We start from the raw sequence: 20,330 nt of genomic DNA on the forward strand, positions 1-20,330 counted from the left end.
AAGGCCCTGGAATGAAAGGAAGGCCTGGTGTAACATCCTTGGGACCTTTGAGAAAGATAGTTATATTTTAGGGGATATGAATTGGGGATTGGGAGAAATTAGAATTTATTTAACAAGTATTTTTTGAGCACCTACTACACGCCAGCCACTGTTTCAGGTGTTAGAAATTCAGCAGTGAACAAAACAAAGTTCTTTTTCTCATGGAGCCCACACTTGGGTGGAGAACACAAGAACTACCCAAGCACATAAATACCCAGTATGTCAGGGGATGCTAACTGCTTATGTGGAATAATGGTCCTTTGTCACAACTGATTTTTTTTTTTTTTTGAGATGGGGTCTTACTGTGTTGCCCAGGCTGGCCTCAAACTCCTGGGCTGAAGTGATCCTCATGTCTCAGGCTCCTGAGTAGCTGGGACTACAGTTATGCACTGCCATGCCCCAACCTTCTTCACAATTGAAAGTTACTTGCTTTTTGGATTTAAAGTATATAATTTCAGAAAATAATAATACCCCCTAATAGATATGTTGATGTTTCTGGCTTGTATTATGATACTAAGTGATGTGCATTAGACATTACCAGCCAGAGCTCTGTCACTGCTGTGAAATTATTTTGCCTAACCTCAGTCACTATTGTTGGTGTCGCTTCTGATATTCCTATGTTACAAACACTCATTCTTCAGTTGAACACAAATGATTTAATATATGCAAATGAATGTGGAAGTTTTTTTGTTTTTTTTTTTGTTTGTTTTTTTTTTTTTTGGAGACACAGAGTCTTGCTCTGTCACTCAGGCTGGAGTGCGGTGGCGCGATCTTGGCTCACTGCAAGCTCCGCCTCCCAGGTTCACTCCATTCTCCTGCCTCAGCCTCCCAAGTAGCTGGGACTACAGGCATCCACCACCACGCCCGGCTAATTTTTTGTATTTTTAGTGAGACAGGGTTTCACCGTGTTAGCCAAGATGGTCTCGATCTCCTGACCTCGTGATCTGCCCGCCTCGGCCTCCCAAAGTGCTGGGATTACAGGCGTGAACCACCGTGCCCGGCCGCAGATTGTTAATAGGATCTATATTTGATTTTAGTGGACATGTGAGGGCCTGAAGGTTGGTTCTTGTGCTAGAGGGAAAAAGTGGTGGCTGACCAGTTGAAGTGATGGAGAATTAATAAAATTATTTAAAGCATTTGACAGTATCTTAAGTACCAGCCTCTCAAGTTATATACTGTGTGCTTTATTGGACAAACACAACGTGCTATTACAATCAAGGTATAATGGTACTTCAGGGCTAAGGTTACACTGAAAAATTTGTATCATGTAGATAGTTTCTTTGGCTCTTAGAGTTTTTGTGACTTCTCAGACTTTAATTTTGCTATAGTTTTGTTCCAACAACAGAAACATTAAGGCCATCTAAGATAAACTCAGCTGATACATTTTAACAAATTTGGGCATACAGTACTTAAAATATAACATCCAGCATTAACCACATTAATTTGATAAGCGAACAAAGTGACCAATAATTAAAGGGCCCTAAGTAAGTTAAACTTTGCATTTGAATTCTCTAGATGTTTGTTACAGACAGACATGTACATATGTTTCCCCCTACTTCTTTGTAACGGCTTAGGCTCATTAGACCCAAGGGGTTATAAAATATTTTTAGTAGAGAAGAGAACTTATAGGTAGTGCTGGCAAAAAAAGAAATTATGTAGCCAGGTTCCATGCTATTTGTCATTAGTGACTTCTTTCATCTTTATTGAGCTCTGTGAGGTAGGTTATTCTATTCCCTTCTACAGAAGAGGCTTGGAGAGATGCTGCCTTACAGTAGCCAGCTTTGCACCCCAGCCTGCCTGTAGCATCTCTTAAGACAAGATAAGACATGATTGCTGGCTGGGTGTGATGGCTCACGCCTGTAATCCCAGCACTTTGGGAGGCCAAGGCGGGTGGGTCACTTGAGGCCAGAAGTTTAAGACCAGCCTGGCCAACATGGTGAAACCCTATCTCTACTAAAAATACAAAAATTAGCTGGGCATGGTGGAGGGTACCTATAATCTCAGCTACTCGGGAGACTGAGGCAGGAGAATCGCTTGAACCCAAAAGGCGGAGGTGGCGGTGAGCTGAGATCACGCCACTGCACTCCAGCCTGGGTGACAAGAGTGAAACTCCATCTGAAAAAAAGACATGGTTGCATACTTTGGTACCACCAAAGCCAAGAGAAGAACCTTAGTTTATCTCCTCCTTAGTCTGAAGTGGCCTTAGAACCAGCATTTTCTGAAATTTACTCGTTGGCTCACCACATATGTCACCCTTGCCAACATTGAAGACTTCCTCACAACCCCACCACTCCTAGCAATAGTGATGGCCAACATTTACTAAATATTTTCTGTATGCCAACACTATGCATTATCTTATGTAATCCTTATGAAGTAGCTTGCCCAGTGTTAGACAGCCAGCTGACATGGGAAGTAGGATTCAGATCCAGGTCTGTTGACTCCACATCCTGAGATAGTGACCAAAAGGCTATACGGTCCATTTGTAGCTGATGAGTAGTCTGTTTTTGTAGCCCAGGGCCGTAAGGAGCTAATGGGAGAATAATTAGGGGGATGATCGCCCCCTGCTGGCTCTGTGTCATGTGTAAACCAGACGGCAGCTTCCCCAAGTTGGTGGTGGTTTATGTTGGAGGAGAACCAGCGAGTCAGTCCCTCTGTTACCTTTGGCTCTACTGGAAGCTAAGAGAAAAACAGCAGAGGGTGAAGAAAGGAAGGAAGAGTGTAAAAAACAAAGACTATTTTAGTTGGAAATATACTTTCTACATGATTTCAGTGTTGCATATCAAAGGATCTCAAGTGTTAAGTGTGATATCCTCCACCCAGGGTGGGCTATTTAAAAGGGGCCTCCCTGAAATCAGGGTCCAGTTTCTGGAGGCCAAGTTAGGCAGATGAAAACCCGGCCTGGCTGAGCTGTCAGCTGAATCCTGAAAGTACACAGGGAGTGGTTTTCCTGATAAAGCCTGGAGTGATGCCTCCACCTCAATTCTGGGGCACGGCGGGTTCCTCCAGCCCCCCACCAGGGCAGCAGCTGGCAAACCCCTGCCTGCTCAGACTGCCCGGTCACCAGGCTGTGTGTCTCATGCCTGTTGTGGTCTGGATGCCATAGTGAGCAGGAGCCAGGAAGAAAGCACAGAAAGGATTTACTCAGGCGGGAGTTACACAACCAGAGGAGGGAAGAGTTGGGGGTGGAGAAAGAGGCAAAGAGATTGTTCTCTTTAGATTTTGAGGAAGCACTCACTGCCTTGCAGAAGAGAAGTTCCATGATACAGTAGAGGAACAAACCCGATCAGGGAAGGCACACGTTTGCTCAACATATGAAACTCATTTATTTTTATTTTTATTTTTTTAATTGAGGCAGGGTCTCACTGCATTGCCCAGGCTGGAATGTAGTGGCACAATCACAGCTGACTGCAGCCTCGACCTCCCAGGCTCAAGGGATTGTCCCATCTCAGCCTACCAAGTTGCTGGGACTACAGGCATGCACCACCACACCCAGCTGATTTCTGTATTTTTAGTAGAGATGGGGTTTTACTATGTTGCCCAAGCTGGTCTTGAACTCCTGGGCTCAAGCGATCCACCCACCTCGGCCTCCCAAAGTGCTGGGATTACAGGTGTGAGCCACCGTGCCCAGCCAAGCAACTTATTTATATATTATGTCAATAATGATCATCACCAGCACTTATGAGCTCTGTATTAGTATGCTGAGCATTATGTCCAGTCTGTACATAAAGGAACCGTGGCTCAGAAACGTTAAATAAAGTTATCAAGCTCTACCTCCAAAAACGGTGACTGTGCCAAAGTTTACCACCACTCTGTATTCTTAACCATGTCACTGTACTTTTGAAGAAATAAAGACAAAGTTCAAAAGTTAAAAACAGCTGCCTGCAAAGTAGGAGCTCCCCAAGCAAGGCCAGACCTCTGAGGGCCTTCCACATTGGGTAGATGGTTACTCTGGGTTTCCTCTGAGTTCCTATTCCAACCCATGGAAAATTGTCTTCCACAAAATCAGTCTCTGGTGCCAAAAAGGGGACCGCTGCTTTAGAGCCTATCTTTCATCATGCTCTAGTGGCAGCAAAGAGGTGACTGATACTAGAATTCTTAGCAGCTGTTTGAGATTTGGGGCAGATTACCGCAGCTCAGCCTCAGTTTCCAGTCTGTCTTAAGTGGACATAACAGGATCGCTGCCATGCTTACTGTGATGATTACATTTAGTAATATCCCTGAACATACTGAGCACTCCACAAATGCTTCTGAACCTGAATGTCTTACAGTAATGTGAAAGGAAATTGAGCCAGAGCTCTGGACAGGGATCAAGCTTGCGAGAATGTGCTCACTAAGTGCTTTGGACTCTACTGAAATTCTAACAGGAGTCAGAATATTTTTCAATTACTTTTGAGATGGAGTTTTGCTTCGTCGCCCAGGCTGGAGTACAGTGGCACAACCTTGGCTCACTGCAACCTCCACCTCCTGGGTTCAAGCAATTCCCCTGCCTCAGCCTCCCACATAGCTGGGATTACAGGCATGTACCATCATGCCTGGCTAATTTTTGTATTTTTAGTAGAGACAAGGTTTTGTCATGTTGGCCAGGCTGGTCTCAAACTCCTGACCTCAAATGATTTGCCTGCCTCAGCCTCCCAAAGTGCTGGGATTACAGATGTGAACCACCATGCACGGCCTCAATTAGTTTTTAAAATCAATTAAACTTTTCATAAAGGTAGTAAATTAATGTGGTCAAAAAATCTCCAAGCATAAGAGAATGGAAGGGAGATGTCCCTTCCTTCTCATTCCTATCCTACCCTTAAGTAGGTAGCCACTGCTACTATTCTCTTATGAGGCTTTGTAGTGATTTTAGTGCATATACAATCTAATATGAATATGTATTCTCCCACCCCACCCTGCTTTTTAAAGAGAGGATGTGATCTAATTTGTGCTTCAGGAACACGATGGCTGCATCAGGTGAGAGCAGGGGCTGGAGGAAACTATACTGTTGGCCAGCTGGTGGCTGATGAGGACCAAACCAGGGCAGGGGCCATGGCTGAGGAAATGGCAGAGGGGAGAGATGTTATGGAGATAAAATTAAAAAGCCTTGTGGATTAATGAGCTGTGAGAAGAGGAGGATAAATGGTAATGACTGGGTGTTGGAGACCAAGGATGCTGATAAGATTTGAAGAGTCCTGGAACAGAGGAGGAAGCAGGATTGCTAAGAACTGACTTGATGATAATGCTTTTGCCTTTCATTCTCAAAATAAGCTTGTTGAAATACCTATTAGAGACAGGAAAGCTCAGAGAGTTTAAGTAACTTCATCTGGGACCTGGCTAATAGATGGCAGGGTTGACTATTTGAACTTTGTCTGAATTTCACAGTGTATGAGAAAATGACACTTACCCCACTATCTGGGAAAATGGGAAGGGCAGGGATTGTTCTCCATTCACAGATGGACATTTGATTTGGGCTCCAGGACAGGAGAGAGTTCCTGAAGGGTCACCTGGGCTTGGTGATGGCAGCCCCTCAGCCAGAAGGAAGGGAGTTTTGCTGCCTGGTGTTCTGGCCCTTATCTTTATTCCAAGGGGCTGGACCTCCTGGACGTGGATGTGGGAGTTAGCAGTCTTCATAGTCAGAGGGAGCCCAAGGTCTCCCCTCTGGGGGACTGGCAGGCCTGTGGTTGAGCCCGCATGGAAGGTCTGTAAATATATCCTGCAGATAACATGATTCTTTCTCGTAAAGGCAGTTGGTCAAACGTGGGCCCAAGGATGATTTAATTTCACATTTTTATACTTCTTTCAATGGCCTAAATTTACAGATCAACTAAAATTCCGTTGTCAGAACACAGATCCTTTCTTGGTTTGGAAAATGTGACCAGGACAGCTCTAAGGAAATATGACATTAATGAGGCCTGTGGAAGAAAGAAGAGGGGGATGGCTGTGCATGGGGGATTAGGTTGGAGACACAAGATAAAAAGCAAGGTTTCAGCCGGGCGCAGTGGTTCATGCCTGTAAACCCAGCACTTTGGGAGGCCAAGCAAGGCGTGTGGGTCACCTGAGGTCAGGCATTCAAGACCAGCCTGGCCAACATGGTGAATCCCCCGCTTCTACAAAAATACAAAAATTAGCTGGGCATGATGGTGGGTGCCTGTAATCCCAGCTACTCGGGAGGCTGAGGCAGGAGATTTGCTTGAACCTGGGAAGCAGAGGTTGCAGTGAGCTGAGATCGCGCCATTGCTCTCCAGCCTGGGCAACAGAGGAGACTCTGTCTCAAAAAAATAAATAAACAAAAATAAAAAAGAAGCAGCAGCAGTAAGGTTTTAATTCCCGATTGCCAGGAGGGTTCTTGCCTTTATCCTGGGCAGGACAGAGAAGGGCACCGGTGTCTCTGGAGGAGCTTCCTAGTTTTATAGTGGCTGCTGAGGCAGTTGCTCCATCTTGGGGTGGAGAATGGCTGTTTGAACAAATCTGGTTCCTGGTCCTTCAGAAAAGAGGCTCCTTCTCTCCTGTAATTCAGGGCTTGGAAGTGATCTCATGCCAGTAAGCCAGGTCACCAGCATCTGTGCAGCTCTGTGTGGCCTGGGCGGAATTTTCACATTGACTGTTTCATTTGACCTTGTAGACAGGCTAGGGTTCATCACTGCTCAGATGAGGAAGCCAGGGCCCAGAAAGGTTAAGCAACTTGCCTCAAGCCACTCAGCTCAAAAATAGCAGAGCCTAGATATTCTAACCCAGGTGTCATTAATGTTCCCATCTCATGCTTCGGAATAAGTGGTCGGAAAGTACATTTGGCCTTCCAGGTTTGGGGAGGAAGGCTGCAGCTGATCTAACGGTTGGCTCTGCTTAGTCCTTGAATGTCTCTCAGGTTTTTCTCATGTTTTTCCAAGCCTGGTCTTCCAGCAGGACGTAGGAGATGGAGTGTCTCCCGGGGAAGGAGATGATGGCTCAGTGTGGAGCACCCCCATGCCCCTCACAGTCCTGAGCCCTTGCCGAGCCACCTGCGAGCCCCTCCCGGCCCAGGGCACACTCTCTTGTGGCAGCAGACATTGTACTGTGTTTCTAAGATGCTCTGGCCACTTCCCCTGTTTCTTCATTACCCTTTGGGAAGGAGGCCACTGAAAGCGTCTGGAAATCCGGGTTCTATAGACATTTCACAGAGGCCCCAGTCAGGCCCCCTCTGCTTTCTTTGGCAGGTCCGCACCCCACGCACCTTCCTGGTTGCTCACTCAGTCGGTGGGCCTTTCAGCTGCACTTCTGTGGGGAAGACACACTCCTGTCTGAGGAAGCAGCAGCCCCTCTGTAGAGATGGTGCTGGGAGTGGGAGGTGGGAAGGATGCATCTCGGTGTGAGATCCCGGAAGGAGGCATTCACTTGCTCCTTGTTTCCAATGATGTTTCTCTCTGGGAAGAACGAGGGGCATGGGATGAAGTGGCATATCAGGGCCAAGTGGCCAGAACAGGGCTGGTGCCCTGGACAGTGAGCTGAGGAGAGAACCCACTTCAGATTCACTTTCTCCTGGGCAGGAACCGTGAGCACAGGCAAGCTCCTGGGCTGAATGTGCGGGAACCTGTCTTGGCTTGGCTCCGCAGCCATTCCCTGTCCCCCCAGGGGCCACCGCAGGCTGCCCAGCCTGCCCTGGGGGGTAGGTGGACAGACATTCCAGGCAGGACCGTGACAAGAAGTAAATGTAGGTGATTTGTCCTTGTTCTGTTCCAGCTTGTACATTAGCATACCTTGACATGAGTTATTTGTCTTGATTTCTTTAAATTCCTAAGTGGATTATAATTTTTTTCTTGGTATTATTTGACAGCAGTCATTTTTCAAGGTTTCACTACGTTCTTCAAATACTTAGAATTTTTGGAACAAATTTAGGAAAAGACTGCCATCTTCAGGTTGGACGGTGCAGTGCAGGACCCGGTGTGTCTGAGGGCACCTCGCAGATGCTGAGGACTAGCAGATTTGTAGGGCTTTTTCTTCCTTTTCCACAAAGATTGAACTGCCTTCATCAGTTCAATACATCTAGATTCAATACATCTAGAATGTATTGTCAGTCCTTTTAAAAAAAAGAGAAAAAAGCCCCAGTGACCACTGTTGGAAGTTGTACTGTTGTGGTTTGTTTCATCTACAGTGATGGACAACCTCCTAGGCTGTCCCCACTCCACTTTTGGGAACAGACTTTGCATGCCTTAGAGGAAGGTAGGAAGCAGGTATCTGGAGAGGGTACTGTGTGCCTGAGGGAAATGCGGACGCCAGACCCCACAAGGCTTCCCCACACTGCCACTACCCTAGCACCGATGGTAACATCAGAACAGAATCGCCTTAATGAGTCTGAAACTTTCCCTGTCTTCATTTATGCTTTAAGTTTTAGTATGTCCAGGTTTTTGTTATCAGAGGGACCGTATTGATTTCACATTATTTCGTCCAAAGTAAAGAAACATCATGATTCTTCCGGAAAGTAATAACAACAGCAAATTACGTGCTATGTACAGTGTTATGTGTTTTCCTTGCATTATCTCATTTAATATTCTTGACACTCCAGTACAGTAGGTACTATTATTATTCCTGCATTATAGTTCTACTAAGTATACATATTTCCACTATGGCTGTGGAAACTGCAGCAGAGAGAGAGGGCTATAATCACTTGCCCTGGATGACTCAGTTAGGAAGTGGTGCTACTGCTCAGATTCAAACCCAGATCCCATCTGACACCACAGTCCAGGTGTTCATCACTCCTCACTGCAGGCTCCCTAAGCAGCAAAGAACAGCAGGGACCAGGAAACAAAGTGACCCATAGAGCAGCTTTGAAGGAAGACGAAAGTCCTTTATTAACCCCCCCCGGGTATCTCAGAAGCCCTTTGCAAGTGAATGGTTGACTTTCGAGGGTTGCATTCACCTTTATTATTATTTGCAACTGCTATGAAGAATAACTGGAGGGATTATAGCAAAACAAAGAGAAAATGGACATTTCTCCAAGTCAAAATAGAAATCCACATATTAAGATGGCATCAGGTACTGCGTGGCATCCTTGATCCAGGTAGGGTTTTACTGGTGCAACATCTTTTTGGTGAACCCTACCTGCAGACAAGCGTCCCAGCTCCTGTCCAGCTGTCCTGAGCGTTTGAGCTGTAGGAAAGCTTTGCAGTCTGACCCGAGCTCCTTTAAAGCCCAAGGAACTTGTGGCTAACACAGAGTAAACATCCTGAAGTAATGTTTTTTGCTTCCTTTTATGGTTCTTTCCCTTCCTCAGAAAAACTCCATAATCTTTCAAGATAGTTTTTGATTGGTGGTTTATTTAATAAAATAATTGTATAAGCCAGATTGAAGCACGTGGCCCATAGGAAAAGCAGTATTCTGCTCCTTCATGGCTCCTCACCTTCCAGTTCTACTTTTTGGGGACCATTGCTTGCAGCCTTTTCAGCCATTTCTTTGTATTAATATATTTACCTCCACATTTCTAAATAACATGCTTATATTGTATATCTCATTCTATTAATTTTAGGCATCATCTGTTGACTTCTTAACATAGAAGACTACGATTTAGTTCTCTAAATTTAGTATATGCCCCCCTCCGTCTTCCTTTCAGTCCCCCTATGTGCTTTTCTCTAAATTTAGTATATGCCCCCCTCCGTCTTCCTTTCAGTCACCCTATGTGCTTATATCACATTAAAAAAAATTAGCATTCAGTTAATTTTACAAACCCATATAAATTTTGCACACAGCGTGGTTAATGTTATATATTGGAACCATTTCCTTAATTGTAAAACGTTTTTTTCTGGGGTGTATGGTTGTCTTCTTAAAAAATTGTTCAGTTTTACATAGCTACACCAATTCACCCTCAAAGTTTCGAGGAGAACTCATACTCTTCTCCAGATGGTGAGATATAAATCAGGTCCGCTCTCTTGGTGACATCCTTCCAGGAGTCCTCAGCTCCACGGATCCACTCTGGACTGGTTGCTGACCTGGCTGGTTTCTTTACCTTTCTTCTATGTTAGGCCCCATCTCTTTTTAAAACGTATTCCATCCTTTTGTAGGAACATACCCTCCTATAGCTCCCTGGGAACAAGTTGCAAGGAAGGTCAGTTTTCTGATACCTTAAATATCTGAAAGAGTATTCTACTTTCATGTGTAATGGATAATTTGATGTTCATTATGGTTTTTGCCTTGGACTTGTGAAACTTTATTCATGTTTTCTAGGTGATTTCCACATATTTTCTCCTTGCTAATGAACAATATGTTTAATGCTGGAGAATAAGGTCATTCTTATAAAAAGAGCAGGTAAATGCTAATTTAGTTCATGTGATATGTAGAAGTGGTGTTGACTGTCTTTATTATCCCCATCTTCTCTGTAGGAATTTATGAGAACATATATTTATTTGGGAAAGATAGAATTCTAAGTATCGAGGTAATAAGCTTGCTCTGTACAGTCACTCTGTAGGTTCTATGAAGATGAGCACTTTGTTGTTAGCTCATGGATTCCTGGTGTCTAGCACAGTGCCTGGCATGTATGATGGATGATAGGTGTGCTGGTTCATTCTATTAAAATCTGTAAAACAGGCAGAGTGAGTACCTTTTCCATCGTTGACCTTGAGATGTTGATAATCAGTTGTGCCTCTACTGAGTGCCTAGGGGACTCTTTTGGAGAAGTCAAAATTAGCCTCCGTTTTGGATATTGAGGAAATCGAGTCTTGGGCCTTGCATATGTGAGTCATTGACATTCGCCCTTTTTCTGCTCATATCTTGATCCCAAATGCCAGTTTTCTTTCCCAAATGCCAGTTTTCTCTTATGAGTATTTGTTTTGTGCCCCATAGAATAGAATTGCCCTTTTTTTGTTTTATGTGCCACCTTCACTTTTGGGGAAACTACCACTGCTGGAGAAGAAACGAGATTTATTTGGGAAGGAGAGAAGCAAATAAATAATCCACCTTGGCCCACTTCCCTTATAAGGAGAACTGGCAAGACTGGAAATAGAGCCTTCACCAAAGGGTTTTTAGAATTCATTTCATTAAAACTTGAACCCAACATACAGATTTCTTCCTTTCAGCCTTCTGGATTTGGGGACAGAGGGATTCCTGACCTACCCAGGTTGAATGAAGGGGAGAGGGTGGTCTGTTTGTTTCAATGCTGTGGTCTCCAGGGCACCTTCTGTAGTACTTTGTATTCTTAGAAACAGAGTCACCACCTCTTGGCAGCAGTGAAGCCACTCAGATGCCAATGGTCAGAGTTTGGTTTCAAGTCACCAGCCTTGTAGAGACAGTGCCCAGTTTCCTTTGGCAAAGACAGCCTGCCCCTTCTCTATTCATTTCAGCCTTGAACACAGAGGTAAATTCCTCAAAATAGAAACCTTTGTGGACTCTATCTGATGCATTTGTGAATCATGTTTGTCACTAATTCTAATTTAACTTCATAGAAGTTTTAAAACGCTGTTTAGTTTTTTTGCTGTTGTTCCTTTCCCAAATCAACTTTCAAAAAACGTTGGTTTAACGGTGTTAGAAAGGCTTAGACATTTTCTTTTGGGGGACAGTGTGATTAATGTTTGCAGCAAACGCAAGGGCTGTGGTGTTGACAGATCCAAGTTTTATTAACTCCAGGACTATTCCTGGATGTGTGACCTCAGGCAAGTCAGTTCATCTCTAAGCTTCTATTTCCTCATCTGTAAAATGATTTAAATTAAATCCACCTCCAGCAGCGTCATGAGGCAAAGATTACCTGAGATCACATCTATAAACAACACATTGCTCACAGCGCCCAGTGGACACAAGGTCTCTTCCTTCCTTCCTTCAGGCACAGGTGAGAGGCCCACACTCTGAGCAGCTGGTTATGAGTGGGCCATTATCAGGGATTTGAACAGTCACTTGGCTTCACTGCTTGCTCCCAGCTCTTGGCTTGTGTTTCTTTTTTCTTTACTAGGCAGGAGGGATAGCAAAAGCAGGAAAGTTATTTTGCTTCTACCTCAGGATCTAGTGAATGTCACATGATAATAAACTATAACAATGGTCATCTTAGCTATAATTTATTGAACATGAACACTTTTTTTTTTTTTTGAGACGGAGTATCTCTCTGATGCTCAGGCTGGAGTGCAGTGGTGTGATCTTGGCTCACTGCAGCCTCCGTCTCCTGGGTTCAAGCAATTCTCCTGCCTCAGCCTCCCGAGTAGCTGGGATTACAGGTGTGTGCCACCACACCCGGCTAATTTTTGTATTTTTAGTAGAGATGGGGTTTCTCCGTGTTGGCCAGGCTGGTCTCGAACTCCTGACCTCAAGTGATCCACCCTCCTCAGCCTCCCAAGTGCTGGGATTACAGGTGTGAGCCACCAATCCTGGCCCCTATCAAACATTTCTTATATGGCAGGTCCTATGCCAAGCACCTTCTGAGCATTAGCTCCTTTAATATTCACATATGTTGCAAATATTACAGGTATTATATCCCCATTGCACATATGAGAAGTCTTGAGGTTTCAGGTTTGTGTCTGGCTCCAAGGCTTTCGTGCTTTACACTCAGCACCTTGCTTTTCAGCTGTACCTTCATGGTCCCCATTGGTATGTGGTAGATTTTACCCCCATTCACCTTCTTGACCTGTAGATGTCAGGGCCGTGGTTCCCATTTCCAGCAGTGCAGTGCAGGGACATTTTGATGTTAAGCACAAAGACTTCAAGTTTCCCAGCTTCTCAACTTCACCCCAGCTCTGACCTGGCCCAGGGGCAGCTAGCGAGGCAGAACAGCTAGGAGTGAGGAGCCTAAAGGGAGACTGGGATTCAGCTCAGTGAGTCCCTAAGGCTTGTATCTCATGCCTTCCATAAACTCACTCCTTGCAGAAGGCGCTAGAATGGACAGAAGCGGTGCCTTCTGGAACTGGGGCGGTCTGAGAGCTAGCTGTAAGCAGAGGTTGTTAATCAGGGTTGGATGGACGGATACATAGCCAGTTGTCTAGGTAATAAACAATGCCTTTTGCCCTGTACTCCCCATTCCATTTTGTGTTTCTGATTGCCTTTATACCAACGTCTGTGCCCACACCTTTGCCCATGTTATTCTTTTTTACTTTTGCCCACTGAGACTAGAAAGACTAGAAGCTTCTTAGCAGCTGTGACTGTGTCTCATACATTTCCATGGGCTGTTGTTTATAATTGGAAAAAGTGATGTGGCAACATTTGAAAAAATGTATAAAAAGCTCAAAGATGTTCCCTCCTACCCTTATAATCTCACCTCTTCCCACCCCCATAATCTCACTTCCCTAACACAATGGCTTTTACTTTTAACCTTTTTAAAAATAATTTCTTCCTTCTGAGGCAGACCCTGTTGTTTTATAGTATCTCCCAGCTTCTGTCTTACCTGCCAGGTGGCTAGTCCATGCAGCTGCATCCATGTCAGAGCTTGATAGGGTTCTCTCTTTCACCTCACCTGATACCTTTTAGGATTTTTGAAGCTTTGGAAAAGATACCACTCTGATGTTGAACAGGAGAGGGACCTGGCCCTCTCCAAAAGATACTGGCCTCAGTTGCACTGCCCCTTATATGCAACACTGGCATCAGATGGAGTGTCCAGCCTCCTGTCTTTTGGCATGGTGGCCAGAGATCCAAATGTGGGTAGCAGGTTATAGATTTAAACCAGTATTCCTTCAGGATATATTTCATAGGGTTTTGTGACCAACTGAGTTTGAGAAACTCTAGATTATATGTTTAAAAATGTTTCTTTATGGAAGTGCCTTTTTAAGAGACAAGGTCTTACTGTGTTGCCCAGGCTGGAGTGCAACAGCATGATCATAGCTCCATTACACCTTCGATCTTCCAGGCTCAAGTGATCCTCCTGCTTTAGCCTCCCAGGTAGCTGGAACTACAGGCATGCACCACCACACCTGGTGATTTTTTTTTTTTTTCTGGTAGAGATGTCTCACTGTGTTGTCCAGGCTGGTCTCAAACTCTTGGGCTTGAATGAGTTTCCCTCCTTGGCCTTCCAAAGTGCTGATATTAAAGGCATGAGCCACCATGGCCAGTCAATGGCACTGCTTTTAATACGCTAGTATTTACTGTGAATCTCTAAGAGAGGTCTTATTAAAAGAATAATAGCTAGATTTTATTGACTGCTTATTCTTGTTAGATCTAGGATCCCTGATGAAGTCTGTGGAGTGTCTTATTTAAACCCTGTAACAATCCAGTGAAGTGAATGCCATCACTGTCCCCATTTTAGAGACTTGAGAGGCACTTGCGCAGTATCATAGCTAGTTTGCCTTGGGCAGTGTTTTGTGCTTGAGTAGGATGAGTCTAGACCCACACAATCTTTTTTTTTTTAAAGCAGGTCCCAGTGATTAAGTTCCATGGACTGTACATTCTTAACCCATGTATAATACTCAGCTTTGCCCAAGCCTTCTGTTAGTTGGGACTTCCTGTGGAATAGATTAGTACTCAGGGACAGTAGTTGGAGAATTGCCAGTTTTAACTTGGAATGTGAGCAGACTTGGACTGCTAGATAAAGAAGGCGGATGGAGTTTCTCAGTGAACCCTATTTGGTTCTGAGGCCCATGGAGCCTCTGCATCCCCAGGTTTCTTGGTCTGTGTCACATTAAGTTGGTATTAATGCCTATTCAGTGGGAGAGGCATGCCCGAAGAGTCTGGAGTATAACGTCTAGACCAGTGGTCTCAAATTTGGCTGTGTATTGGAATTCACTGAAGAAGCTTTAAAAATTATGATGTTTGGCCTCTCTCAGGGATTCCAGTTTAATCCAGATTATGCCCAGGCCTTTGTGATGTTTAAATGATCCTTGGGTATTCTGATGTAGCCTGGGTTGAGAACCATTGGTTTGGACACACTCCTTTGTGGTCCAGTTACCATGTCTTATCCCAAAGCAAGGGGAAGAAAAGGGTTCACTTTGTGAGTGAAATGACTTAATGTGGTTTAGAGTTTTTTGTTTGTTTTTTCATGAATGAGTGACCTGTGTTCTTTTTCATCAGCCATGTATGGCCTTGTAGATCTTCTCTGTGATCTGTACCCCAGTCCTAACTTTGCACTGACAGTGACATATTGAGCAGCCCTTATGTAGAAGTTTTGGATTGGTTACTAAGGGGACTGGTGACAAAGAGGCTCAGCACTCTTATTCCTGCTGGAAGAAGGAAGTGGGTACCATTGCTCAGACCACTGTATCTACGCTGTCCCAGGAGAGTTGGGACAAGAAGTGCATTCTGGGTTATGACATGAGCTAACTGCACACAGATTTCTTATTGGGCTCCAAAGAGTATCACTTTCATTTTCAGTTGGGTCAGGTGAAATTGGGTAATACAATTGTTTCTTGGTTTGGTAGCTGGGTAACTTAAGCTGTTGTTATTAATGTGTCCGCAAAAAAGCCTTTTTTAGATATTTCGGAAAATATATGCCCTTGTCAGTAAAAAGCAATGATTGTCTCAACCCTAAGCTATAATCGCTTTTCTAAACATACTCATCATTTCAAAAGCATTGATCCTGGACTGGAAGGCCTAATTCCAGAATTTTGGTACTACTGCTCTTTATCCAGTTCAAGATGGATGAGTTCCAGGTTGATCAAAGAGTTTGTAATGGGAATGTTTCTGTTGGTTTCTTACAGTACAACAAACACCTCTTCGTGCACATTGGGCATGCCAACCATTCTTACAGTGACCCATTGCTTGAATCAGTGGACATTCGTCAGATTTATGACAAATTTCCTGAAAAGAAAGGTGGCTTAAAGGAACTGTTTGGAAAGGGCCCTCAAAATGCCTTCTTCCTCGTAAAATTCTGGGTGAGTAAGACATTGCTGTGATTTCCGTGGTTTTTGTCTGAATGGTCACATCTCTTACATGAGCACAGTGCAGCACAGCTGGCTTTGGATTTACACTGAGTGCACCTTCATGTGCTTCTGCACAATTGCCAAGGGAGCACGGACTCACACCTGTGAACTGTCCTCATGCCGGCCTTATGCATCCACATGGTGCACCTGGGTGACATTCTCTGTCCCTGCCAAAGGGCACAAGGGACAAGCAGCCTCTTTGGACTTCACTTAAATTCCCGGAGCTGGGATGAAAATAAAGTTACATGCTTCAAGATTTTGTAAGCATCAGAGAGGAAACAGAATTGCTTTGCCCAGTGTATACTTCATTTGTGCTTTAAAATGACGGGCAAAGTCCCCTGGCTGCTGCAGCTTTGCTGATGTTCCAGAGCCTCTGAGAGGAGCTTTGCCACCCTTTGGCACTAGTCAGCCTTGGGCCAGGGGAATGCTAATGGGTCAGAATGGGCATAAGTATAATGTGTGTGTGCTAAGGGATTGGGGCACCAGATAACCTGCTAGCGCTGCGAGTTTATGATTCCTCAGCCTTTACACACATTTTTTTTTAAAACTGTTTTAAGTGTTTGTGCCCCTTAGCATGGCATTAAAGGCCCTAAGCGACCTGGTTCCAGGGTAGCTTCCTCTTGTGTCCTGCCAAACCCCTGTTGCCCCACCTGTCCAGTCTATGCTCTGCCTTCTGTTTGTCTAGATGGACTTTCTGCTCCTTTCTCCCTGTACCACTGGGCCAGCTCCTTCTCCTCCATGAGACAATAGCTCCACTATAATAGAACCTTCCCCATTTGAGCAGACCATTGATTTCTCTTTTAATCCCATTGCATTTGGTAATCACTTCCCATGCTGTGTCATGATTGTTTGGAGGTGTCCCCCTTCCTCTGGGCTCTGCCTCAGGGGGCCTTATTCATATAGTGGCTTCCTTTTTTATTGAATGCTTGCTTTGTGCTAGGAGCTGTGCTGAATGCTTTACGTGCATTTCATTTCATCCTCCACGTTTTAGGTGGAATTTGCCTCAGCTCCACCTAGGAAAAAAGGCTCGTAGATCACCAGAGACAGGCTTGTAGGTTGGGTACCTGGAGCTTGACATCAGATCTGTGTGACTTTAATGCCTCTGCTCTGTTTCCTCGTTGCATAATCCCTTGTGGACCCTGACCACAGGATCTGTCAACCTAAGCCTCTACGTATCTCTATACCAAGCAAGAACCTTACACAACAAAGCCCAACAGATGTGAGAACAAATGGATGAATTAAAGAAAAATTTATGTTTTAGATTCCTTGGAAGGAAATTTGCATATTAAATTAGTTTGTTTCGTTTCTTTTAGCCTTCCATGATAACTAGATTTCATTTTTTGTGCTTCCATTATTGAAATTTGGTTAGTAGTCCAGGCACAGTGGCTCACGCCTGTAATTCCAGCACTTTGGGAGGCTGAGGCAGGGGTATTACATGAGCTCAGGAGTTTAAGACCAGCCTGGGCCAAATAGTGAAACCCTGTCTACGAAAAATACAAAATTAGTCAGGCGTGGTGGTGCACACCTGTAGTCTGAGCTACTCAGGAGGCTGAGGTGGGAGGATAGCTTGAGCCCAGGAGGTCGAAGCTGCACTGAGCTATGATTGTGCCCCTGCACTCCAGCCTGAGTAACAGAGCAAGACCCTGTTCCAAAAAAAAAGAAATTTGGATAGTAGATGTAGCCTTCTACTTATATTAATGGATGTTGGATCTGTAATACACATGGACAACCTGAAAAAGCGATCACAGTCACATTTTCCTTTTCTGAATTGGTGGCTGCCTTCTAGTAATTTGGATGGTGGTTGGAGATCAGTTATATGGTAACAGGGTAGCTTTCAAAATGTGGCCTGCGAACCCCTAGGGAGTTCCTTGATATCATTTTAATGGGTTGACAAGGTCAAAACTATTTTTGTTATAATACAAAGACATGATTTGCCTTTTCCATTCTGCTTATATTCACACTGATGGTACAAGAGCAGTGGGATAGAACTGCTTTAGTATGAATCAGAGCAGTGGCTTTGCTGCTAAAATTCATGCAGTTGAAAAAAAAAGTCCTTCATGAATTTTATTACAACCTAGAGTACACATTGAAAGTGAACACATAAGTTTTATCACATCAAGGAAAACAAATGACATTATTTGTTGCCAAAGATAAAATTTGGGCTTTCAAATGAAAATTAGAATACTGGGAAATTTGTGCCTACCTTAGTGAACTTCTCAGTACTTAAAGACTTTTCTGATGAGATCCACGATGATATTGACAAAATGTAATTTGATATTGTGTTAGAGCAATGGATTTTAATGTAACAGAGTTGGAAAAATTCATTGATATGGTTTCAGACTCCATATTCCAGCCTACCATTAAGAAACTACTACTGCTTGTTGACTTTTGATATAGTATCAAAGGAAAATGACCACTGTTATCTGAGGAGTCTGTCACATAATGTAAAGCAGCACTACCTGTCTCACTAATTTTTTAAAAATACAGGCATGTTTAATTTTTTTAAAAAGATGTATATCAACATGTAATTAGCTTATTATTTCTTAAAATGAATGAATATTTTAAAATTTGCTCAGTTTTAATTTCCAGTACAGAAAATATAGATATAACCTGTAGTAAGCAAAAGGTCTTTGAGGTCCTCAATAATTTATTTGGTCCTGTTTGCAGTATCGTACATGATCACCAAACTGCTGCTAGAATGCTCACACCTGTTACGGCAAATTCAAAACCCAGGAAAGGCGTCTCCTGGGAATTTACTTGAGGTCAGGGTCAGGCTGTCTGGTACATCAATAATTTATTTACGAGTGTAAAGGGGTCCTGTGATCAAAAAGTTTGAGAGCCACTATTTTAAAGGATGTAAAAAGGGGTTGTTTATCCAAGTGAATGAAAAGCTAATTCGGAATTATAGAATGTTATGAAGAGAAACCATTTTCAGTAATTTCAAATTCAACAGTAGTGTTTTTAAATAAGGTTTCTGATAATTAGCATATTGTTTGAATATAAAGTAGCATAGAGTGCGCTTAGAAAGTCTTTTTTGGTTTTGCCTCCAAAATTGCCCTTATTTTACCCAGTGGATGATTTTAATAAATGTTTTCCATGGTGGGGCCCTTCAGTCATGAATCCTCAAATAACAAAGTCTAGATTGCAGATGTTTAGAGTATGGTAGCTGTTGGGAGATGTGCAAATTTAGAAACAGTTACTCCGAGATCAGATACTTGTTTATTAAGATTTGCAGAATTAAAATGGAGAACTTCCATGAATATGATAGAAAACATCACTCCTTCAGTAGAGTTGTTAGGAATATTTAACCTTTATAAAGAAATTCAGTCATAACTATGTTAAAATAAAGGAGGGAAGGCAATTTAAATTCGGTTTGCAATTTGAAATGTCATTGGCTTCCTCTAATGACTCAGTAAGAATGAATTACATTTAGAATATCTATCCTTGGATATCAGTAGGTGCTTCCAGTGGGTGTTTCCGAAGTAGGTTTAACACTCCCTTCGAAATATCTTTTAGCAATATGCTTAGCAGATGTGCTTATTTTTGTTACAACAGAGACTCTATACCCAGTCCTTTTCTTCTCTCTTTTTCAAATGGCCTAAAGTCTCTAGGCTGTCAGTATCAGCCTGACTCTTACCTGTTTATTTGATCGTTCCTGAATTTGGTTTTCAGAATATCTGCTACGTCCAACCTGGGCTCGGTCAGGCTAGACCACGTGAGGGGTTTGCTATGGAAGAATACTATGTGTTACCTAAAGTACCTGCATTTAAGCCCCAGATGCAGGCACCTCAGTTCTGCCAGTTGACACTTGGAGGCGAATGGGATGGTGATGAGCCAAGTAGTAGTCACTCCACTGATTTTAGGGTGGAAGATTCTACTGGCATCCCAGGCCCCAGAGCATAAATGAATAACAGAGTCAAGGATGCCAGCATGAGTACCCCTCTACCATATAAGCTTTACAGTGTCTCATGCCTTCATGGTGTGGGACCCCTTAAAGCCCGTATGAATGGCTGTTTATCTGTTAAGATCTTTCTAAAGAGCCTTATTGAGGTATAATTTATATACTATAAAGATCACTCATGTTAAATGTACAATTTAGGCCTGGCGTGGTGGCTCACACCTGTAATCCTAGCACTTTGGGAGGCCGAGATGGGCAGATCATGAGGTCAGGAGATCAAGACCATCCTGGCTAACACGGTGAAACCCCATCCCTACTAAAAATACAAAAAATTAGCCGGGTGTGGTGGCGGGCCCCTCTAGTCCCAGCTACTTGGGAGGCTGAGGCAGGAGAATGGCGTGAACCTGGGAGGCGGAGGTTGCAGTGAGCCAAAGATCACGCCACTGCACTCTAGCCTGGGCGACAGAGTGAGACTCCTTCTCAAAAAAAAAAAAAAAAAGAAAGAAAGAAAAGTACAATTTAATTATTTTTAGAAAAATTTACAGAGTTGCATAATCATACTAAAATCCAGCGTTGGAATTTGTCTGTCACCCCGCGAGGATCTCCTGTGCCCATTTGTAGTT

General features: G+C 43.7%; 1 protein-coding gene and 1 pseudogene across 1 annotated transcript in view, besides 1 other annotated feature; one reads left to right on the top strand and one right to left on the bottom strand.

The window, feature by feature from the left end:
• Window positions 1–20,330, top strand: part of TEAD1 (TEA domain transcription factor 1) — a 270,317-nt gene that overhangs the window by 211,932 nt on the left and 38,055 nt on the right. The window contains 1 exon segment of the mRNA NM_021961.6: window positions 15,588–15,761. Within this exon segment, the coding sequence (NP_068780.2) occupies window positions 15,588–15,761 (174 nt within the window).
• Window positions 2,559–3,067: an enhancer, noted in NCBI's record as "H3K27ac-H3K4me1 hESC enhancer chr11:12910458-12910966 (GRCh37/hg19 assembly coordinates)". NCBI's record gives its function as "activates a minimal SCP1, AML or CMV promoter by ChIP-STARR-seq in naive H9 embryonic stem cells {active_cell/tissue: H9 hESC(naive)}" and the evidence as "EXISTENCE:reporter gene assay evidence [ECO:0000049][PMID:30033119]".
• LOC124900312 (uncharacterized) lies at window positions 18,465–18,636 on the bottom strand (annotated as a pseudogene).

Source organism: Homo sapiens, chromosome 11 (genome assembly GCF_000001405.40).
Source record: "Homo sapiens chromosome 11, GRCh38.p14 Primary Assembly".
NCBI classification, from domain to species: Eukaryota; Metazoa; Chordata; class Mammalia; order Primates; family Hominidae; genus Homo; species Homo sapiens.